Below are 24,649 nucleotides of genomic sequence, written 5' to 3' on the forward strand. Positions count from 1 at the left end.
GAGGTCCCACCTGAGGCCCAACTGGGCCTCAAGGAAATAGTCCCTAGTACAAGAGGAGGCTGTTCTGCCTGGGCTGCAGTGGAAAGGCGTGGATCCCGTGGGACGCCCACTGCATACCCCCACAGACCTTGCTGACACAGTCCTGAAAGTTTGTATGCTCCAGTGTGTGCATTAGGCTAAGATGCAATGTCAGTGGCAGCCTGGAATACTTCCTTCCTCATGTCCTTAAGAGTCCTGCTGGATTTCAGTTTCTATAGCATATCACATCCATCATCTGTACTTTGGTTTAAATTAGCCTACCTATTTCACTAACACAGTACTTTGCAACATGAGGATTTGTAATTCATGTGTGAAATATTCACTGTGTGCGCTAATGTGAAAATGTAAAGTAAAAGAAAGGGGTGTGTGTGCAAGAGAGAAGATGCTATGCAATTATGCCCCATCCAAAATATCTGTCTTCCCTGGGCTCTAGAATGCAACTGCAGACCCTGTGTACAGCCCTCCCAGCATGGTCTGAGGCCTTCCATCTCCCCCACTTCAAGATAAGGCCTGCAGGGACTTGGCACAAATTGAGTGTGCAGCAAAATCCAGGGCATGAGTATCACAGGGATCTGGTGTGGACAGCTGATGGCAGCAGAGCTCCCTCAGCCTTCTCATTGTTCTTCTAACAGAAGACAGTGTGAGATTCGGTCCCTCTGGCTTCATTTCACAGAACAGGAGAGATGCCAGGAGATTCGTGCAAGAGTCAAGGCTGCTACTGGGGGCCGGGGAACGAAGGGCTGTGTGCAGGTCAAAGCAGCATGATGATCAAGGAGTAACCAACAGGGGAGAGGACCGGCCGGGGGTGAGGGGCAGCGAGGAGCTCTCATGATCACTTAGCAATGTCCCCAGCCGCTGTGCTTTATGTGTTTAAGATGTAACAAAGATTCTTTGCTTGGCCAAACTTCGTTCAGCCTCGAGTACCTTCTCCTAGGCCCATTTGTGCACTTCCTTGTAAAATGTAGTTTTGACAAGAACCCTGCTAAGTCAGTTTCACAAGAAACCCTTACCCTCGATATCTGATCACCCTCGACATCTGACATTCCTCACCCCCCATATCCCCTAGAGTGTGTCCGACCACCCTGGCCTGTTGTCAGCAAGAATCCTGTTAGGTTGGTTTAGCTAGAATCCGCCTTACCTCTGATGCTTCCTCTTAATAATTTTCCATCCACTCACCTCCTCCCTGCTCCTTGGCTGTAAATTCTGCTTGCCTGTGCTGTATTTGGAGTTGATCCCAGTCTTTCCCCCCCGAAAAATCCCACTGCAGTGATCCGTATTCCTGTCATGATGGTCCTGAATAAAGTCTTCCTCACCATACTTTAGTACCATTGAATAACTGTTTAACAAATCCTATGGCTTTCCGCCACAAACGAAGGCCCAATGTAAGAATCACTTAACATACCACAGTATCAATAAAAAGGCTAAACATCATACCAGCTTTGAATTGGTCTTAGAAGTATGATTTTTCCACAATTTCCCTTTGGAAGAATAGCAAGGCTTTTAAAATGATATAGCACTGGATTCAAACCCCAATTCTACCACATCTGACCTGTCCTGGGCAAATCCAAACCTGGGATAAATCACATAAGGTGGAAAGCAGAATGACCCCTCCTGTGAAGGTGAGTGCCATAACTGAACTGTGGACCAAAGCCTCTTCGAAAATAAACTTAGGACAATAGCTCTACCTGAACCATACTCATCTATTTTCTAATCTGAGATGCAAACTTTGCTGAACATGATTCCACTTAAAATATAGCTTTGATGTATGATGCACTTAACCCAGCGACATACTCCCTGAGTCCTCATCACAGGCATCTGGTACAGCAACGAGTGAGATGCTAAGACAGGCATGAGGAATCTGCTCAAAAACACGGCTGCAAGGTAAGCAATCATACCCATCCAGCTTGGAAAGGGAGAACGAGACGCTGAGCTGTTTCTGGCCACCCTCAAAGAGGTCTTCACCTCAGAAGTGACTTGTCGGAAATGTAGCAGAAAAGGAAATAGGTGGACACACCTCCTTATTTCCCTTCCTCAGTAAGCCGAGTGTTTCTAAAGACAGGCTGGCTCAGGCAGGCCTGCGAGTCTCTCCCTAGACTGCTCCACAGAGCCATCTGACAAGAGCAAGGCATGATATCTCAATTGGACAGAAAAGAATGAAGTCAGTGACTTCATCAAATTCTTGCTGGGAAATAGAATTCTGTGTGACAAAGGAAACAAAACACATTCTGAAAGGCCTCCCTCGGGACTTCTGCCTCCTGCCACCAGAAGCTGCCTACAGAGACTGAAGCCCACCACGTTCTCGATTAACTGCAGTCATGGACGGCTCCAGAGATCTTCTCCCTTTTGTCTCTGGCACAAAAGCTTGCTCGGTGTGAAGACAACACATGAGTTATCACCTCTGCCAACAATGCATGCATTCTTGGGGAGGCTAGGGGACACTGGGAGCCCTGGCTGTGGCCAAGGAGGCACTAAATCAAGCTGCTTCTTGGAGGCTTTCATGGTTTCCTCTAAACAAAGCAGCTCTCATCTCACAGCATGAAGGAGTTTCTGAACACAGTTGCTAAAAAGGCACCAGGCTGTCCTCGAGATGTGGAATTCTCAACTGAGCAGGTGGACTAAGGGGTTCGCAGGTCACGGCACGAGCTCCTAGGAACCCCAAGTAGCAGCAAGAGGGTTACATGAGATGATAGTAAGTTTCACCACTTTCACTTACCATAAAGGAAAGCGGCCACTACAAATCCAATAATTAGTCCACTCAACATTTCTCTCCTGCGCCCACGTACCTGGTGGTCTTCTGGAAGCTGGGGACGCAACCATGAATGAAACAAAGTCCCTGGTTTTGAAGAGCATACACTGTACTAACAGAGATTGGGGCTGAAAAATTCGTATTTCAGTTGGTTACAAGGGCACTGAAGACAACTAACATGGTTATGGTAACTAGCCTGGTGCCATAATGCAGAGAAGCATCAAGAAGGTTCCCTTAAGGAGAGGATGAATGAACAAGAATGCCTGGAAGAAAAGCAAGACGCTGCTGGGACAGGCAGGAGCAAGGGAGCAAGGAAGCCCGGCCTGAGGGAAGGTGCGGAGGCAACAGGGCTGTGTCCCGTGCTCTGCTGGAGCTGCAGAGCCACTTGAGCTTCCGACCCCTCTTTACAAGGCTCCCTCCAGCTGCGGGGTTGAGAGTACACAGGACAGGGAGAATGAGAGTGGCTCCAAGGCTACGGCAATAAATAGGGGTGGGGCGGCAGCAGTGTAGACCAGGGACTGGAGTCTGGATCTACCTAGGGAGGGCACGGCCATTAGGATGTGCTGGTGGATCTGTGCAGTGAAGGAAGGAGAAGAGCCATGTGTAGTCACAGAGCCTCCATTTAGGGGCACCAAGATACCACTTAGTGACAGGGGGAGGTGGGAGAGCTGGCATGGGCTGTTGGGAGCCTAAAGCTGAGTTTGGACTCACCTCTCCCCAGGAATGCACTCAGCGAAACTCAGCTATACAATGCAGTTGCCCTTGGAGAGTCATCCCACTGTGTAACAGGCTAGGCTTTTGGTTCTACGTTGGTAGCGGAGCAGCCAACACAGACAAGGAGACACACACCACGGAGAATGCTCATGAAGAGCGGGGGCTCTGGCTTCAAAACCCAGGCTACCACTGTGTGGCCACCTAAGCTTGGGCAACTCATATAACCTCTGCGCTCCAGCATCCTTGCCTGAAAAAGGAGGGGAATAATGTCACCTGCAGATCATAGGACAGAAGAGTGAGCTAACGTGATCAACCAATCAATGGGTAGATGCATATGTACTACACAGAAATACACAGAGCTATAATTCTTCCCCCTGGAATACACTCAATTGATAACAAACCATGCCACAGGATTTTCAGAGTAACAGGATGCAAATCGACTCGAGTCCCACAAAATGCCATGCTGGAAAGTGCTCTAGGAGGCTACAGATCAGAAGAGCAAAGCAGCCTGGGCAGACAACCACGAAGAGGAGTGACCGGGGAGCTGGGGGTGGGAGGGAGGATTAGCAAAACCAAAGATGCCGGCAGAGCCTCTCACCAGGCAGGCCTGGGGTGCTCCTCCCAAGGGAGGCCAGAGGGCTGTGGGAACAGGTGTGGAATCAGCAAACCCACCCTGACCCCAGATGGTATCTGAGGGTACCAAGCAGTCAGTGTCGGCACAGACATCTTTGCCACACACTTGGACCACCGACCACAGATCACTGGGACCTCTGCTGGCTCCAGAAGTCTCCCTGGGTTGAGGGTGGCCAGTGGAGGATGGTACCGAGGGCCTGCCGGCATTGTCAAGGTGACGGCCCAGCCTGACCAGATGTGGCTCACCTCCCCACCCTACCTGTCCAGGCTTCTCAGCCATCCGAGGACACCCAGTACAGGCACACCCCTGGCTACAGCCAGCAGGCCAAAAGTATGTCGGAGAAGGTCTTCACAGGCCGGCTGGTACAGGCAGGCAGACCTGGAGGCATGGGCAGGGACCCCAGTGGCCATGGAGGGCAAGGTGACTCTAGTTTCGTGGAGCAGCCATGCATCTGGGTTATGTCCCCGTGCCTGCCTTCCCCTTAGTGGAGGGTAGCGGGTATACATGGCAGCTTCAGAAGTGTCACTCCCTGAACCAAGATGCACTTATCCCTCATCCTTTGTGAGCTGACTTCGATTTGGGTTGCAAGGTGCTCCCTGAGCCGAGGCCAGCACCTACCGTGAGTGGCTCCCCCTGGAGCGCCTGCAGGATGAAGTTGCTGACTACTCGCCCATCGTTCATGTGCATGCGTGGCCCAAAGGTGTTGAAGATTCTGGCCACTCGCACTTCCACGCCTTCCTGGAACAGAGAGAAGAGGAGGTCAGGTGTGCTCCCCTGTGTGGTCCACGCATCCACTTTGCATTTCCAGTGCCCTGCATGCAATGCAGAATGGAAACGTTCTGCTTTCCATTCCAAAATGGAAATGGCTTTTTTGTTCTGATTCCATAATGTGCTCATTATAGACCAATCGGGAGACTACACAGGGCTATACCAAAGAGAGTCAAAGCTGTCCCAGATCTCGCCACTGAAAGGCCACCAGCATTAATATTTTGGTAGAAAACCAGCCAAACAGTACAAGGAGGAAAAACGTGTATTTATATAATTTTTTTTCCCAGTTAAATATATATTTTCCAAAATGGGATCATGTTATGAATATGCTTTTCTAATCTTTTTCACATAATATATTGTGCAAATTAATCACTCAATAGAGATTTAGATGTCAATGAATATTTAATAGCTAGGGAGAAATACAAGAAAGCTCTCTATCTTAGGAAAAGGGGACACAGAAACGTTCTTACTGAGTGAGCTTGCATCTACACTCCCAATCTATTTTACTAAAAAACATCTGTTTTAGTGAGAAACTAAATACAACTTAGTGCCCAGTATAGGTTATTAGCTAATGGCCTGGAAAGAGAAACATACTGACACTGTTTAAATAGTCATCCCTCCTGTTCATTTTCACCTCTATGTTCATTTTCAAGTATTTTTAATGCTTCTATTTTTACTACAATGAACATGTATTACTTTTGTAATCCAGAAAAGCCTGTTTTCAAATATGCAATCATGGAAGTGCATACTTGAATAACAAAAGCCTGCTCTAAGTGATCGTGTTAATTATTAACTTCACAGACTGCTTTGCCATGGATGGAAAAATTAAATGTTTTTATCACAAACTCTGAATTAGTGGGCTTTTACAGTGTATACGTATCTAATGTTTGATCCACTGCAGAACAAACGTGCACTTTCTGGGCACCTGAGGGCAGGGAGCCTGGGGCGTGAGGACCTGGGCTCTGCTTCTCACTGCGCCCATGTGTCCGCCGTTCCCGCTCCACCGCTCACTGCCCAGGCCTGCCACTGACTCGGTCGCAGCAAGACTGGGAAAGAAGCAGTACTCACCTGACCGCCTCAGTGTTCTAAGACTGAAGCACAGGCCCAGTGGCTGTATTTGGTGCCAGTTATCACTACCAGCTGAAACAGTTCTTTTTTCAATTTCGGCCAACACCTTAGGCTGGCATGGGTTGGGAATGGGAATCCAATGAACCCTTAGCTAACAAGGCTTACTTAGCACAGAATTTCTCCACCAGTATAGCGAGTTAAAGGGCATGAACCACGAGCCCCAGAGGCCCCATCAGCCCTCTCAGTGGCTGGAGTGACACGGCCGCCACCTCGGCCCACAGCAGGCTTGTCAATTTCCCTAGGGTGTTCCACAAACCCAGGCGGGTTTTTAAGTGTGCTGTGATATGAAAAAGGGTGAGAGGCATGGAAGCACACAGTTAACTTTTAGAAGCCAGAGTGCTTTATTTGTGCTAATTCTTCCTAGTAATACACTGTAATACTTCACGTGAGCCACTCAGATACTCAGGACAAAGATATGAGCTAAGTCCAAGAATAAATCAACCCTTTTCTCCACCGAACTAATGAGTGTATTAAAAAGGGTGGGGAGCAGAGATGCTGCTCTCAACAGAAAATGACTCAGAAGTACCCACTTGCATTTAATTGATAAGATGAGGAAAGAAAGTGAATGGATGTGGCTTTATTCTAGGAAAAGACTGGAAAAACCTCAGCAAATTTACAATAATCAACGCAATGTGCCTGGCAGGGGAAAAGCTCAATGGGTTAGGCAAAATTTGCAGCAAATCAAATGCTTTTATCTTCTTGACGTTCCCTTTCCACAAAACAATATTCCGGAACATGGCCTCATTAGGATCAGCAGACATTAAGTGTCCAACCCATAAACAGGCTTGCTTGCTGTGGCTTTTCTATTTGGGCCTGTAATGGTTCAGCAACAGAGGGCAGCCCTTCTATACAGGTGCAACAGCCGTTGAGTGCAACAACACTTCCAAGAACACGAGCTCTCAAGGCTGGTCTACACCAATAAGACAAGCTACTCATGAAGCCTAAACTCCTTACATGAAATAGACAGGAACCCGAGGCTCACTCCAGTTAAGCCCTGCTCTCCTCTGGGATGATGGTGTCTTCTGGAGTTTGTATGCCCATCTATCCCTTTCTAGGTAGCATCAGGGAACCCTTGGCCTTCACACAAAGGCGACCCCCAGTCAATATGTATAGTCCACTTGCTGCTGAATCCTCATTCTCACTGGTCCTCACGGTGGGACCATGTGGGCAGGCAGGGGGACAGTCGATGGATGCTGACACCACTGTTGATGGTGGCAGTTCAGTTGCCACCCACATGCATGGATTGGAGAAAGGTATTCCTCATCTCAGATCTGAGGCAAGGTCCAGGGTCTGACCCAAAGCCACCTTCCTAAGAAGGGAAGAACCAGGCTGAAAACCCAGGAAGTACACACCAGGCAACGCTGTCTCATTTAAGGAAGAGCCCACCTCTGAAGGACCAAGAAGCAAACACATTCATGAACCCCTGACTCCCACACAATGTTCTGCCTGCGAGTGGTCAGGCCCTGCTGACACTGAGCTGGTGCCTTTGAGCATAGACAAAGCTGTCAGTCAGAAAGCTAACTGCTGATTCATCCTAGGCATGGCTGGATTTCACTTTATGCTCTGTGGTTTTGTCCCCTATGGTGGCCCATGAGTCATGGACAGCTCCAAGCATCAGGAAGGTCAAGACAACTCCTACAAGCCTGAGCTGCACCAACATAGAACCAATGGAAACTTAGGATGGATGCTGAGGGACCTGCAAAGGGTGGAGGCTGGAATGCCTGGATGGCCTCGTCTCATCCTGGGATTCATTATCCCAAGGAAGTCACTTCAGTTTCTAAGACTTAAGATCCTAATCTTTGAGATGAGGACAATAATATCCATTCCACCTACAACACAGGGGTTAAAACACTGAAACTATTTTGAAAACTGCCATCATTATTATCTACCTCCAAGGGATGGTTCTCAACCCAGTAATTGCCCTTGACCTCTGTCCCCAGTTTTCTGATGACACTAATTTACTTTGAAGTGACAGTGACCACGTGTGGAATAGCTCACAAACATTGCCACAAGGACACTAGGATTGCAAGGAACAGGCTGAGGCTCCCAAAGGCCCTTTGGAAACACGAACTAGGCTGGAACAGTGTAACTGGCATCAAACGCCTCCTTGCCTCATTCGTAGCAGCTGAGAGAGGGGTGAGGGCTTGGGTATGCAGGTCCTGAGACGTGGAGCCAACTAACAGCAGGCCTGACAGGCAAGAGGTGACCCAAGAGGAGTAATGAAGGTACAGGGATTCCTCCCTCCCCAGATATCTCCCAAGGACAGAAATGTTACCAGCAGGGATTACACGGTGTACAGAGCACCTCTGACAGAAGTGATTTTATCTTAGAAAATGACTCCATTTCACATTTCAAAAGGCATCCAGCCAACACGGTCCAGATATTTGCATAATCAACAGAGACAACACCCAACCAGATTAAGGGCATAACCCTTTACTGTCAGTCCTCACCAAAGGACTCAAGGGCGGTAATGAGCAGGACTTCTACAACTCGAGATGGCCATCTTGACAGACTCCATCTTGCTGTCACTCATGATCAGCACCCAGCATCTGCCGCCAAAGACTGCCCAAATCAAGGGCTCTTCCATGCAAGATGATGCTGCCTGTCCAGATAAGCCCAGGACCCTCTCTTTGTCCATGTCACTGTCCTTGGACTAGTTCATTAACCCCTTTTCCTCTCCCCGTGTCTCTTGATGTTAAATGTTACTCTGTTTGATGTGGACTGCTTAATCTAAACATTTATATATTAAGTACACTACTAGGTATGGTTTGCAGTACTGACTGAGCTGTGGAGTGGCTTGAGCCTGTGTGACCACAGCTCTGATTACCGAGTGAATGGAAAACACTAAGAAGTTCCTTCTGGGAAACTGCATGGAGCACATGGATTTTATGATGGAAATAGTATCAATAAAAGCCTGACCTTGTGGAAAGACACAAACGTTCATGGACCTGGTTATGTCTGACCTTGCCCTGCTCACGACACATGGGTTCTCCCTCAAAATTTCTTTTAAAATGCAACCATTCAGTGGAGAGTACAACAGGTCCCCAAATAATATCATTTCATGATAATACTGATGAGAAAAAAAATCACCTCCTGGCTGGGGCTACTGTCTGCACGCAGCTGGCATGTTCTCCTCTCCCCACGTCTGTGTGGGTTTTCTCCAGGTATTCTGGTCTCCTCTCACATCCCAAAGCTGTGCATGTCAGACAAGTGGGCTGTTCCAGTGGTCCCAGTGTGAGTGAGTACGCCCTGTGAGAGGTTGGCATACTGTCCAGGGCAGGCTGCTGCCTGGAACCTGGAGCTGCTGCGATAGGCTCTGGCCACCTGAGAGCCTGTCAATAATTATCTTGCTTTTATTAATCTTCCTTAGGTGGATAGCTCACATTTATTTCAAATCCTTAATATTAGAAGTGTTTTAGTCTTTATTTAGAATTTTGGTGATGTTTTTGTGACCAGAAATATGCCTGGGAACTTAACTCTTGTTATAGCAATTAGCCTGTGGTACTGCTGATTTTGTTCTATGTCCTTCTGCTTAAAGTAGCAGTTTCCAAGAACCTGCTGATGGTGTTAAGTGATGACTTACTGTGCTATATCAAGCCACCGAACACTGTAACGTGATCACTATATTCGCTGACGGAAGGTTCTATTGATAGAAGGTGGAACAGAGCCCTGCATAGTGGGAGCAGGTCCTGAAGGAGGTGCCTGGGCATATTCACCTGTAGGGAATGGAATGGAGAAATGCCAGGAAGTGCACCAAGGTACAGCAGCCCAGGCTCTCTCTGACGCTTCTCTCAGAGAAGTATATGCACATCCCTAAAGCAACGGAGTCAGGCTGTGAGGGCTGAACCCCCTAACTCCCCTAGGGCCTGTCATGCATACATCTCGATGGGTTCTGCTCCCTACCTGTGGATAAAACTAAGGCGACTGCAGAATGCACAGCTCACTGTGCTGAAGCACGATTCTCAAAGGTGCTAAAAGGTTCAAGTTGACTCGAGGGGTTGGCTGAGGAAGGGGGTCCAGGAGGGGTGTGTCTGCATCTGTTTGGCCATCTTCCTCAGCACTCCTGCTTCAGCATCAACAATCAGCTGACCTTCCTGAGGTTTGCTCTGCAGCAGGCCAGGAGGGGTGGATATCACTCTGCCAGTGTCTAGGTGGGACACCTGGGATGTGGCCAGCAGGCACCCAGTGAGTCACAGGGCCAGGAAGCCAAGCTGCTACTGGGCAGGTCCAGAGGACAGGACGGGCCTCCTGGGGTGTGAGTCCTAGCCATGGAACACTGCACCTGGTTTGGCTGCTTACTTTTTTTTTTTTTTTCCAACTCAGGTAGAATATATATACCAACTCCGACTTTTTCAAAAGTACTTTGATGCCAGGAACTAAAACAAAACCATACCTTCAGGGCCATTAGACTAGGTGATTTCTGAGTTTGCTTTCTTTCCACTCTGCCATTTGCTGGTTTTATGAATGGAGGCTTGTTTTGCAGATCCAGCCCAGTGGGTGGGCCACAGACCTCAGAGTCAGACTCATGAGGGGGCGAACTCAAATGCACACTAAGCACTGACCGCAGCCTACGGGAGAGGCCCCCACATTTATCAAGCCACTGAGTCCAAATGCACACAGAGGCGGCAATTTAATTCCTCCCTGGCAAGTTCTAACTATTCGGGAAAGGCTCTGCCCTTTGATCTCAACCTCCATCTCACTCCATCCCACGAAAAAAAATTCCAGGGAGCTTCTCTTTTTCTAAGGGGTGTGTGGTAGATTTTTCTGGAAAGTAAAATTCTATTTTGACTACATTAGGACATTTCATTCATTAAAGAAACTCAGAAGAGAATCCTTAGGAAAAGAGAAATTTTTCTATAAAAAAATTATTCCTACATCTATCTTGTTTATATTTTCAATCTTTACATATTATTCAGAGTAAGACATATCCACATACTATATAGGATCTTGACAATAAAATCACAATTTATACTTAAGGGGGATATGTTATTATGTATAAGGAATTAATTAAAGTTGTTAAAATAATGAATTAAAAATATGCCAGACGTACTATTCCACCTGGTTCATCCTCCTTGATTTTATTTGTCTCCAGATAGCATAAATCCTAACACACAAAGTTTTAAATTTTCTCCCCAAACTATCTCAAAAGATCACACATTTAGAACTATAAACTGACAAGGTCACAGTGCAGCTCCTGTTGCTGAATCTCCCAGCTGAGAGGTGCAGGGGTGATGCTACTGCAGGCGCATGAACCACTCATTCTGGGCACTGTCCCACAACTGTGCGAGCTGCAAAGGAGCCTTGGCGCCTTTGGACTTGGAGCTGCATGGTCTCCTCTTGCTCACTCACGCTTCTTTACCTGCTTCAGCCTGCAGGGACAGCCAGGGAGTGTGGGGAGGAGCAGGCCCCACAGGTAGCCAGCTGAAGGTTCCAACCCCACTTATGGGCTAGGGACCTGGAAACCAGTTTTGGAGCCCATCCTCCCATCTGTGAGATGGGCTGACCACTCCCACCTGAGGGGGCTGCGGGGAATTAACTGAGATTAAACGGACTGAGCCCTAACAGAGGCTGAGCACGCAGCAGGCATTCCAGCCCCCAGTTCCTGCTCTCTCGCAACACCCACAGCAGGCACGCAGAGCATCCTCAAACAATGTCACCTCCAGACAGTGACACATCCAGAAAGGCACAACATCCTGCAGGCCGCTGTGCTCAGAACACAGTCATAGTCCCAGAAAATAACAATCACTTTGGAGTTGTTGCCCCAAAGAGGTCCAGTGATTTGCCCCAGATCAAGCCACAGGTAGAGGGCAGACCCAATGTGGCAGGAGGTGCTTGGACCCACCCTTGCTGCCAGCTGTCACAAAATCCTGGGTTAAAGAATCATCTCAACGTCTTCATTTCAACGTTTTATATCTCTCACAATCTTTATATAGTGGTGTTTGTTTTATTTTATTTTTCCCCCTTATGTTTGTCTCTAGATGGGATTATGCATAGCAATTTTTCTTTTTTCTTGCTTAATCAGTATTGTCTTATTTTTCTATACCTGGCAAAATATCCTGCCATAGCAGGAACTGAAACCTGTCTCAGCTGTGAGGTGTCTGCTCCTTTGCGCAGAGAGGAAAGGCACCATTTTCCTCCCTCCTCAGCACCCATTCAGAAAAAAGTGGGAATGAGTATTCAGGTACCAATTTTAGGGCCCAGAGGGGCTTGTGGCCTTGGACCCATGGCTCTTCCTACAAGGGAGCACAATATTTACAACATGAATAACGGGACGGAAGGTGGGAAGAACACACTGCACCTTCTTCACAGGCCTCCTGGAGCTCAGGCAATACCACAGTGACCCTCACAGGCTCACTGCTCTTAGTCACGTCATTCCTTCCTCATCAGGAAACTACAACCTCCTCCTGTCTGCCTCGCAGCCACCAGAATTGGACAGGGCCCCAGGACCCCTAGGGTCAAGGGCACGGTCCTCCCTGACATAATGACTGCACAGTGGGAACGGGTAGGGTCCGTGGGAAAGGGTGGCAATATCACACCTGCTTACATGCCTCCCTCAACGTGCCCCCAGAGGTGGGCCTTCCTCGGTGCCATTTCTCACCTGGGCAGATGCAAACCCTCAGCACATGTGCTAAGTAGAGTGTGAGCCCCAATGAAACTACAGTTTACTGACCTGTTGGCCAAGAGCCCAAGTTCCACACTCTCCTTCCTAGAAAGTGCTGCACCTGTCTTCCATGGGCCAATTCTCAAGCCTCCCAGTGTGACGGAAAGCAGCAAGCGTGGTTCCCACATGAAGAACCCACGACACCCCTGTGTGAAGTACACTGTGAACCTGGCCACAGAAGTGACTCTTGCAGCCATTCTGCAACTGTCTGTTAGGGACTCCAGGGTGGAAGGCACATGCCTGGTGACTCCATAGAAGGCGTATCATGCCAACGGAGTGACAGGGACACCTTCCCGACAGGGTTCACGTCAGGGATGCTACCTTGAGCAGGAGGAACCAGCTGACCACACGGGGGGCTTCTAACAGGTATATTACTCACAGTTTTCAGGGCAACGCTGCCCACGCCATTAAGCTCCCGAGACCTATGTGAGCAGGAATTTAAATGCTGATGTTCCAGAGTTACTAGGTGCTACCTTCCGGAACCCCCAGGCACAGATGACACGAACGGGTCCAATGTTAGCATTTGTGTGAAATGCAGATCCTGGCTGGAGCCCAGGCCCCTAGAACAGTACCTAGCATACAGTCGGTGCTCAAGAAGTGCTGCTTCTATTATTGCCAAATACCTAGAACAGTACCTAGCATACAGTCGGTGCTCAAGAAGTGCTGCTTCTATTATTGCCAAATACCATAATTATCGCAAGCTTATACTTAAGGCAATAGGTATACCCATAAAGTTATCAACTACATTAGCCGAATAATCATTTAATGAAAACTAAAAGCTCAATCAAAATGTCCCATTTGTCCACCAGCTTTACCTATATAAAAATTCACTAGGTAAGAAATACAATCATAGGACTGAAAGCAAAAGAAAACAGTTGAGAATCATATCACTCCTGGAACACATTCTAGAATAAAATGCAATGATGTACCCCTGACACTCTAGTCAGTACTCCTAAGTACCCATGCACACAGAGTGGTCCTGTGTGTCTGGAAGATCATCTGAAACTTTTGAGTCAAGATATTCTGGGCCCCAAAATGATGAAAGTATGTTCCTACTAAAACTGATCGGCATTTCATAGAGGAAGTGGATAATGTAAGCCAACAGACTAAAGTCGCTTAGAAGGCAATTAGTTCTGCTTCTGGCCAAGAAATAAAGCAGAAAAGTTTAAATATAAACAATAGCATAAGGTTAATTTATGCATCTTTAATGCTGGCATTTCATTAAACACATGATGAGAAAGAGAGTCCTCGACATTCTCTCCTACCCCTCAGAGAGCCTACCTGGCTTTACATTGCCCTGTCCTCTGTGGTACCACGGGAAGGGAAGTCGATTAAACTCTCATCCCAAGGTCAGGAACAGGAGACCTGGCCCTTGGCACATGCTTGACTGGGGCTCTGCCGGGGCCTGAGACAGACAGTCAGGAAAACTCCTGGATGCTGGCCATGCTGATGACACTTGCCCCTCCTACAGAGCACATAGCCGACAGTTCCCCAGGCTCACCTGCAGACTGGGCCCTGGGCCTGACAGCATTGCTCCCAGAAACAGACACTGCATCTACCAACAGCCTGTCCTGGACCAACGTTCCACAGCCATGTTGATTTACCTGCATGTCCCACTATACCAGAGGGCATTTTCATGAGGATGTGAAAATTCAGACCCAAGCCCAAGGACACACTCAGTGAGAACATGAATGGGATATCCTGTGCCCAGGCCTCCACCTTCTCTGCACAGTTCATTGGCTCCTGCACCACCCTGAGATGGGCAGGGCAGGCTTCACAAACCCTGTGTCAGAGATAAGAACTGAGAGAATGACGGCTTAAATCTTGGAGTCACACAGCAGCACAGCCAGTGTGGCAACCTCGGCCTCTTGGTCTGTGAGCAATTTCTGCTATAACATGCAGGTGACCAAATCTGTCACATAAAATATCATCAGCACAACAATGACTAATGAAGAAAGCATGAAATAACAGTAAATAAATATCAATAACAATAAAGAGGTTCAAATTACAGCAATAACGCATCCATTTTTTTACTTAATTGATAGAAAAGTAAAAAAAGAAGATCCATTGATTTGGAGGCTTCAGGAAAAGAGGTACTTCTTAGCTGCTGGTGAGCAACTGGCAATGAAGAAGCATTCTGTTCATAGCCATAAAATAGTATTCCAAACCCAAGAATTGATCTCTAGGAAATCATTTTTAAAATAAGGAGATACATGGAAAAAGCTGTTGATAATACCATTAATTTATAATACTGGGAAACTGAGCTTCCCAAACACCTATCCCCAGACAAAATCAGTCATGGCATTCATTCCTTTACAACACTTTACATCTGAGGTCAGGGTGCTCAGCACGCCTAAACCGCAAGCCTAGACCCTGGTGAAATACCTGCTTCATGTAGGCATAGCACATGGTCTCTGCAACACGTTTGCCTTCATCGTAGCAGGCCCGAGGTCCTATTGGATTCACGTGGCCCCAGTAATCCTCACTTTGAGGGTGGACTTCAGGATCTACGATGGGAGAAAAGTGAGACTGTTTTCATCTTTCCTTTTTCCAGTTCATATCAATAATGCATATTTATGATGCAAAAGGGAACTTCGGAAAGACCCATTTAGAGATGGAGAGATGTATTAAAGAGGCAACCTCAGGTTTCCAGTCCATTCTCTTGAGTTCCAGTAGGATATGATATTAAGCAATGACAATATTTTACTTACAGGGGAAAAAAAAAAAGAAAAAGATCAGGTCTCCCAATTTTAAGTCTTCCCTCTCTTCCGTAAATTGTTCTTAACTTTCAGAGTGCTACACAAATTACAATTAAATAGAATCTATGTGAAGAGATATGTGGTTTTGTTTTATATTTATAAAGTTGATAACTGGAGCAAATCATGTATTTATTGAAAAAAAATGAAAAACGCAGCATCTCTGGAACATGATGACTTTGACATGTGCCATCAGCAGAACAAATCTGGGACCCGTGACAAGTCAACGTGGAGGCTCCTGTAGGGCAGGTGGAGGGACGGGGTGCCCCTGGCAAATGGGTGCCTGTTCTTCTAGCCCTCATTTTACACTCCCAATTCCTGTTTCTCTAGCGTATAAATCAATCACACTTTAAGACATACCAGGGGAAGAGACTATTGGAAGAAAACACGTAACAAATTCTTTTATTCACACAAGTATATTTCTGGAATATGAATATACACCTAATTTATTTAGTACACCAAGAATTTTATACATACTTGAGTACAACTATGATATAAAATGTATAAGTCTTTGCCACGAAATCTGGACAAAAAGATGCATTGTTATAAATTCCCATCTTGTTTATCTTACCCCTGAAGTCTGACTTGGGACTCAGTGGGCCTGAGCAGGTGCAGGGAGGTAAACAGACAGGTATCCTGCCACTTGTCTGCTCAGCCGATCCCTCTGGGTCAGCACAGCCTCCGCAGCAATGCAGAAGTGTGCTGCAAAGAAAGGTCTATGTATCTGCTGCTGTGGTTTAAAATTCCCTTTCAAAGAGCAAACTTCTCACTACTCAGTGAGAGAAAAGTTCTAAGGAAAATACTTCCTGAGAGAAAGGAACCATTGACTTAAATTCACAGAATGTACCAGATGATTGATCCCAGACCTTTTTCTGGGGATCTTTAACAAGAGCTGGGCAAGCTACCCTCCAAAAAAGATGGTCATAAATTTGACAAAGGACAAGAAAGAAAAGGCTGGGTACGCCCATCTGTCCCTGGACTGGCACCGTCTGGACTGAAATGCCCAGGATGCCAAGCTTCTAAATAAGTCCCCTCACAAAATCACCGTGGAATAAAACAGGGACAGCTTACATTGTTAATACAAAAGTAAAGACCTAGAGTCAAAAATAATTTCCAATCATCTCCCCTTTCCAGCATTCTGTGAGGCTAAGACACTAAGCAAATACTCCACAAAAGTTTACTTTGGTTATTCAAGGTCAGAGGAGAGCACCTGGTGACTTCCATAAATTACACTCTCCAATTATTTAGGAAGCCTAAGGAACACAGGCTCCTGTCAGACATGCAGATAATAAATGAGATGAGTAGGGGAAGCAGGATGGCTGTGGGAAAGATGTCACTGTTCCCCTCTGGACAGATACCATACCCCATAGGTAGGGAGGGACACACTCTGCTCTTTTATTAATAACTGCCCAGGACTTCAAAAAAGTAGACAATGAACTACCTTTTCATAGAGATTACAAAGAATATCACTGCATTTAGAAGAATTTCTCTGTTGCTATGATTTTTTTCATTTGGTTTCCTTAATTAAAAAAAAGTCTCTTCTGATTTTACCCTCTTACTTCCTTCTCTTGTCCACAATAATAATGTAAAATAGAAAAATTACATCATACTAAAACCTGGCTTCCGCTGTATCAGCTAAGCAGTTCTCCTGAACCTTGCACACCCAGCTGGTTTGGGGCTGAAGAGAAATCAACACACATTGAAAACACAGCTCCTGGTCCCCACTCCTCAACTCCTTCTCAGGCAGTGAAGGAGAGGAAGGCTGTAGCTTGGTAAAACAAGCTCGTGGGTGTTCTGACACTACCTGCTTAAGGTTCTTCCAGAACTCGTTATACAACAGGGGAGGCAGTCAGCGCATGTCTCTTCTCCCAGCAAGCTTTAAAGGCCAGCCCATGAGCTCTTGGGAGGTCAGGCATGCAGCATGCATGACTCACATAGAAGAATGACATGTGCTAGACAAACAGGTAAAAAGATAGTGTGATTTGTGGGGTGTTTTCAGAGCAGAATGGCAGAAACACTTCTGTGGAATCATAAATGGTGGGTCTTTACTGGCCAGGTGACAGGGTGCAGACCTCCAGTGATGTGTGATCAAACAAGAGAGGCTGTCCCACAAGGAAGAGGAGCTTGGCGACCCGGGAGGCCGACAGGTAGCCTCCTGTGCACAAGAGGAGCATGGGCAGGCTGGGCCTCCTCAGAAAAGAACACTGGACTCTTCTGAGACAGGATGAAAACAGTCCAAGGGCTGGAGTGAACATCTCCTGAGAGAGCCTCCTACTCACCTCCATACACCTCCGATGTGGAGGCCAGGAGCAGACGGGCACCGACTCGTTTTGCCAGCCCTACAGAAAGCAATGACATGATAAAAGAGACTGAATTTACATGTGCAGGCACATTTTTTGCTGGCCAATTTAAGCAATGTTTTAGTATTAAAGACATTTAATTATCTATCCAATTATCTACCCTTACTGCGTCTGCTTTGGCACCAAAATAAACAAAACAAATACAGTAAGAAAAACATAAATGGATTCTCAGAAGGCCAGTATTTTGTTGAATACTTGTCATAAGCAGGGCCAAACGCAGAATCTGTTAGTTTGATAAAGTGTGATTTGAGGAGTTTCGTGAAGACTCCTCTGCCCCCAAATATTACCCCATATTTTACTGGGTAACTTTCCCTTGGTTGGCAGAAGGCAAGGCCCTTTTCTCCTTAACTTCCACAATGGTCAGCTTGCCACTTCCTGAACATCTCCTGGGCTCTTCTAACTGCCCATGCCACCCTGTCTGGGTAACTCTCCACTCATTCTTCTTCCTCCTATGCGGTTCAGCTTACACAGCACCTTTTCCAAAGCAACTGTCACATTCCTCAATTCTGCTCTGAACCCCTTTCCTGGACTGACCACTCACATGTAACTGACCAGAACATCATTATCTATGGTGGTCAAGTAAGTATGGAAAGTCTTCCAAACTCATTCACAGAGTCCCAGTGTACAGTGGTTCACTACAGGATCCAAGAACCCCCCTGACCGTCACTAACCCTGTACTTAAGACAGGCGACATACCCCACCCCCAATCGCCACTACACTAGAGGGGGGCTGTGCTGGACACCCCTCAGCTCTGCCCCCCCACCAACAGCAGGGGCCAACACATGCCCACGAAGCACTGCTAGGAGGGTGAGACGAGCCAGGCACATGCAACCTATGTGCGCTTCTGGGTGAGGCTGGGTGGGGTGGTAGGATTCTAGCGTGCAGCAGCCAGGGGTATCAGTGTGTCAGACAATGTAGTAGCTTCAAAATGAAGGACTCTGAGATCTTTTTCTTCCTGATTAAATTTTTTGAGATATTTGTACATTCAAATTCAATTGTACAAAGTAGTATAGGGACCTTATGTATCTTTTACCCAGATTCCCCCAATGCTAAAATTTGCAAAACTAGATTGTGCCACAATCAGGACATTGACATTGATATGATCAGTGACTATTTCCACTGAAACGGACATTCCATTGATAAAAGTGATAGAGCATTTCCATCTCCACCAGGATCCCTCACAGGGCCCTTCTACAGCCTCTCCTCGCTCCCTCCCACCTGCTGACCCCTGGCAACCACTAACCAATTCTCCATGTCTATAATTGTGTCATTTCAAGGATGATACACAAATGGAACACGGCCTCTTAGGACTGAATTTTTTCATGGAGCATATTTCCCTCAAAATCTATCCAAGCTGCAGTGTGTATCAAAGTTCCTTCCTAATCTATTGCTGTGTAGAATTCCCGGGGATATATGTATGCACTGCCGTTAATCATTCACCTATGATAGGACATTCTGGTTGCTTCTCATTTTTGACCTCTACAAGTAAAGCTGCTATGAACATTCACACAGGTTTTCATGTGAACATAAATTTTCATTTCTCTGGGAGAAATGCCCAAGAATACAATTACTGAGTCTTACAGTAGATGCATACTTAGTTTTTTAAGAAAGCGTCAAACTGTTTTCCAGAGTAACTATACATTTTATATTCCCCCCTACCTGAGTTCTTTCTAGTTTATAGTTTTCTCTGAACTTTGGTCACAAACACACATCACAAATGCAATGTGTTATATTTCAAAAACAACTGAGTTTAAAGATTTTGAAACTAAGACTATTTCTGTAGCACTTTCATGGAATGACTCACGCAGGATCTACAGAGACAACTGTCAGGGAGTGAAGCCAAGGGAGCTATCCTGCTGCTGTAGTGTCTGGGGGTTACGAAAAACTTTCATCAGAGAAAGAACTCTAGCACAGGGTCTGGGAGGTGGGCAAGTTACATAGAGGAAAGGGCCTCACCAGGAAAAAGCCAGGCAAAGTTCATGGCATCTTGTCTCAAGTGCAAGATGGCTAATGACAGCGCCTCTCGGTTCAGAATACAAAGTCCAATTTGGGTTTCTTTCCAGCCTACCAATGGTCTCCCTTTGCCTTTTGTATCTCTCCTGGAAGACTCTTTACCATTCCTGCAAGGCCTCCACATTCAATCTCAGTCATAGCTCAAGCCCTAGCTCGAGTCATTTTTGCCTTTAACTCTAACAGCACTTTGCTGAGGCCTCTCTTTGGGAGACTTTCCTTTCCTACTAGGTATCATCGACGCTTGTGCCCGTTCAGCAGCCCCCAACCCCCATAGGGCACCAAGTGCAGAAGAGCCTGAGGGTAACCCCATCTGAATCTGCCCCAGTGACAGGACCCACGGGCACAGTGACTGCATCCCCCGAGTAGGAAGAATAAACGGAATCTCCCTAAACACCAAGTGCATGATCTTTTCCTCTATGGTCTAGTTCTGGTATGATGGAGGGGGGCGGGACAGAGAGAGTGTAGGAGGGGTAGGCGCTTGTGATGGCAAGAAGAGGGCATCACGCACACCTCTAAGCAGAAGCAGCAGCACCCTGTTCTGTCTGGTGACCAGAGCAGGAGACGGTAACAAAGAAGATAAAGCTCTTTCCAGATAGGAAGAATGAATCATCTTACTCCAAACAACCTGTCCCCTGTGATGGTTCATTTTATGTGTCAACTTAGGCCACAGGATGCCCAGGTATCTGGTTGAACATTATGTCCGGGGGTATCTGTGAAGGTGTTTCCGGAAGAGAGGATAATTTGAATGTGTAGACTGCGTAGAACACATGGCCCTCCCCAACGTGGATGTATCATCCAGTCCCTTACAGGCTTGACTAGAACACAAAGATGGAGGAAGGTCAACTGCTTACACAGAACATCGATCTGCCCTCGGCTCTCTGGTTCTCAGGCCTTGGAACTACACCCCTGGCTTTCTTGGTTCTCTTTCTTGCTTGCAGAAGGCAGACGGTGGGACTTCTTGACCTCCATAATCATGTGAGCCAATCTCTCGTAACAAATCTCTTTCTCTAAATCTCTACACATCCTATTGGTTCTGTTCTTCTGTAGAACCTTGACTAGTACCACCCCCTAAAATATTGCATCTAAGAGATAAACCAATCTCTGGCTGTCCTTTCATTCTCGACTCCACGCTTTGTTCAAATTAAAATTTAGTGCTGTATGTCCCAAGTCTATTTGCAGAACCTGTATTAAATGTTCCTATACTTAAATCCATCATTTACTTGCCATTTTTAAAAGTGGTTCCTTTCTTCCACTTTGCAAATAATCAAAACCCCTGGAGTTTTTTGAAAAAACTGTGCCAAATTTAAGCATGCCTCTAATTTTAAACATTAATATGTGCACATTACCCACTGCTATAAATCTAAGGCATGTCATTTGTGAATATACACATATGACCACCATTAACAATGCTCTCTCGTCCATCTTTTACTAATGCGAACCCTGAAGTCCAATCTAGGGCAGGTACTCAGTCTTGATAACACCCCATACAGATGTCTCCATCCATTCCTTCAAGGAGTGCTACTGAATCACCCCCGTGTGTAAGGCCATGTCAACCCAACCTGGGGATCAGAGCCACCACTGCCTCTTTCCAGCATGAGGCATGCCACTTATCCTCAGCATTCATCAACTGGTTTCAGAGGAGGGGAGGGGGGCAGGCTGGGTGGTTGGTCACATGAAGCGCCTGTGGTCACTCCCAGGGGATCTGCACCAGGGTGCTGCAGCCTGATTACTACAATGCATGAAAAGTTAAGTTAGACCATCTCCTCCATGACATACTCTGATGACAAATAAAAGTCACACTGAAATAACACTGCAAAACTGCCAAATACCACAAGCAGGGCAATAAGGGACGAGGGAACACACTCAGATCAAACTCTAGTAGAAGATTCAATGACCTATGCTTGTAATCATCTAAAATATTCCCAGCAACAGCCAAAAAAACAAGAAAATGACAACTTACCCAACATGTTTAATGTCCCAATCGTATTGGTCTTTAATGTCTTGATAGGATTATACATGTAGTTTGGAGGGGAGGCTGGAGATGCCAGATGGTATATCTGGTCAACTAAAGGAGACAAAACAGAAGCCTATTACTTCAAAAAAGCACCAAAAAAATACTGACCTCCTAGGATATATACTGTATAATAAACGTATTAGTATATCTTTCACTGAAATCAAGTTATTTTATTCTTCATATAAACTAATTTACATTTGTAATTAGGAAAATGTTAAACAAAAATAGAAAGTCTAATTATTTGGAAACAAAAACATGTGCTGGGTCAGCTGAGTCTGTTCTCGTGTAACCAGAGTCAATTCGATTACTGAGTTGATTGTTTTCTGAAATATTTGTCCCAGATAGAGCATTCAAATCAGAAGGAAGACTGATTTTTTTCAGACACAGAATTAATCATGAATTTTTTTTTTTTTTAGTTTGTGAGGCAAATATGACTTAAACCAAAGACACAGAACTATGGGAGAAAGTAGCCTCTCGTTTGTTTTTATGCATCCTGTATACATAAAACCAGACCCTGAGACCATGGCGAGGGAGGGAGGGAGGTTTTTAAAGCCATGAATGGCAAAGCAATTCAGATTCCATGCAACCCCTGCCCCTCCTGGAAAGGCATTCACTTTAACGTCACTACCCACAGCGTTCCAGCACAGAACCAAGTCAGGTAACATCTGCACATAGCAGAGAAGTCCTCGGGGACCAACCTCTCCCTGTGGAATGGCAGCAACAGACACACACACACAGGAGGAATGCCATCCTTCCAGACAAAGTCCATGTCATGCCATTCTACTTTTAGCCAATGGTGAGGAAACACATCCACCATCCACAGGAGTGAAGAACAGGGATCTGAAAGCTCTGCTGCCAAAATGAGTCCTCCCTTGCACATGGATGTGTAAGAATACTTGCAGGGGCCCCTCTGCCCGGGCCTTCCGGGCTCCCCTGACCAGGGAACTGCTGCTGTCTTTCCTTTCCCAGTGCCGGGAATGGAAGAGCTGAAGATCAAGCCTTGAGCCACAGCAGGTCAGTCTGGAGGTTCTCAATCAATCCTGACTGTGCACTAGTCACCCAGTGAGGTGATGCCTGGGTCCCCAACACCCTGAAGCAGGCTGGGAGACTCTAGACCTTCATTCATATATATATATTTTTTTTAACATTTGAAAGCCAAGTCTGGGGGGGAGGAGCCAAGATGGCCGAATAGGAACAGCTCCAGTCTACAGCTCCCAGCGTGAGCGACGCAGAAGACGGGTGATTTCTGCATTTCCATCTGAGGTTCCGGGTTCATCTCACTAGGGAGTGCCAGACAGTGGGCGCAGGCCAGTGTGTGCGCGCACCGTGCGCGAGCCGAAGCAGGGCGAGGCATTGCCTCACCTGGGAAGCGCAAGGGGTCAGGGAGTTCCCTTTCCGAGTCAAAGAAAGGGGTGACGGACGCACCTGGAAAATCGGGTCACTCCCACCCGAATATTGCGCTTTTCAGACCGGCTTAAAAAACGGCGCACCACGAGACTATATCCCACACCTGGCTGAGAGGGTCCTACGCCCATGGAATCTCGCTGATTGCTAGCACAGCAGTCTGAGATCAAACTGCAAGGCGGCAACGAGGCTGGGGGAGGGGCGGCCGCCATTGCCCAGGCTTGCTTAGGTAAACAAAGCAGCCGGGAAGCTCGAACTGGGTGGAGCCCACCACAGCTCAAGGAGGCCTGCCTGCCTCTGTAGGCTCCACCTCTGGGGGCAGGGCACAGACAAACAAAAAGACAGCAGTAACCTCTGCAGACTTAAGTGTCCCTGTCTGACAGCTTTGAAGAGAGCAGTGGTTCTCCCAGCACGCAGCTGGAGATCTGAGAACGGGCAGACTGCCTCCTCAAGTGGGTCCCTGACCCCTGACCCCCGAGCAGCCTAACTGGGAGGCACCCCCCAGCAGGGGCACACTGACACCTCACACGGCAGGGTATTCCAACAGACCTGCAGCTGAGGGTCCTGTCTGTTAGAAGGAAAACTAACAACCAGAAAGGACATCTACACCGAAAACCCATCTGTACATCACCATCATCAAAGACCAAAAGTAGATAAAACCACAAAGATGGGGAAAAAACAGAACAGAAAAACTGGAAACTCTAAAACGCAGAGCGCCTCTCCTCCTCCAAAGGAACGCAGTTCCTCACCAGCAACGGAACAAAGCTGGATGGAGAATGATTTTGACGAGCTGAGAGAAGAAGGCTTCAGACGATCAAATTACTCTGAGCTACGGGAGGACATTCAAACCAAAGGCAAAGAAGTTGAAAACTTTGAAAAAAATTTAGAAGAATGTATAACTAGAATAACCAATACAGAGAAGTGCTTAAAGGAGCTGATGGAGCTGAAAACCAAGGCTCGAGAACTACGTGAAGAATGCAGAAGCCTCAGGAGCCGATGCGATCAACTGGAAGAAAGGGTATCAGCAATGGAAGATGAAATGAATGAAATGAAGCGAGAAGGGAAGTTTAGAGAAAAAAGAATAAAAAGAAATGAGCAAAGCCTCCAAGAAATATGGGACTATGTGAAAAGACCAAATCTACGTCTGATTGGTGTACCTGAAAGTGATGTGGAGAATGGAACCAAGTTGGAAAACACTCTGCAGGATATTATCCAGGAGAACTTCCCCAATCTAGCAAGGCAGGCCAACGTTCAGATTCAGGAAATACAGAGAACGCCACAAAGATTCTCCTCGAGAAGAGCAACTCCAAGACACATAATTGTCAGATTCACCAAAGTTGAAATGAAGGAAAAAATATTAAGGGCAGCCAGAGAGAAAGGTCGGGTTACCCTCAAAGGAAAGCCCATCAGAC

The 24,649-nt window shown here is 46.7% G+C and overlaps 1 protein-coding gene across 15 annotated transcripts in view, besides 1 other annotated feature; it reads right to left on the reverse strand.

Moving 5' to 3' along the window:
* Positions 1–24,649, reverse strand: part of UXS1 (UDP-glucuronate decarboxylase 1) — a 100,991-nt gene that overhangs the window by 14,584 nt on the left and 61,758 nt on the right. For all 15 annotated transcript variants that reach the window (NR_045607.2, NR_165308.1, NM_001377505.1 and 12 more), the window contains 4 exons: positions 21,780–21,884; positions 17,726–17,785; positions 15,076–15,197; positions 4,752–4,871 (listed from right to left, as the gene is read on the reverse strand). Coding sequence is in view for 13 of the 15 variants with exons in the window: in NM_001377505.1 (NP_001364434.1) it covers positions 4,752–4,871; positions 15,076–15,197; positions 17,726–17,785; positions 21,780–21,884 (407 nt within the window). In the remaining 2 variants the exon portion in view is untranslated. The remainder of the gene's footprint in view (positions 1–4,751; positions 4,872–15,075; positions 15,198–17,725; positions 17,786–21,779; positions 21,885–24,649) is intronic.
* Positions 22,570–23,084: an enhancer, noted in NCBI's record as "H3K27ac-H3K4me1 hESC enhancer chr2:106746920-106747434 (GRCh37/hg19 assembly coordinates)". NCBI's record gives its function as "activates a minimal SCP1, AML or CMV promoter by ChIP-STARR-seq in primed H9 embryonic stem cells {active_cell/tissue: H9 hESC(primed)}" and the evidence as "EXISTENCE:reporter gene assay evidence [ECO:0000049][PMID:30033119]".

This window comes from Homo sapiens, chromosome 2 (assembly GCF_000001405.40).
Source record: "Homo sapiens chromosome 2, GRCh38.p14 Primary Assembly".
In the NCBI taxonomy this organism is placed as follows: domain Eukaryota; kingdom Metazoa; phylum Chordata; class Mammalia; order Primates; family Hominidae; genus Homo; species Homo sapiens.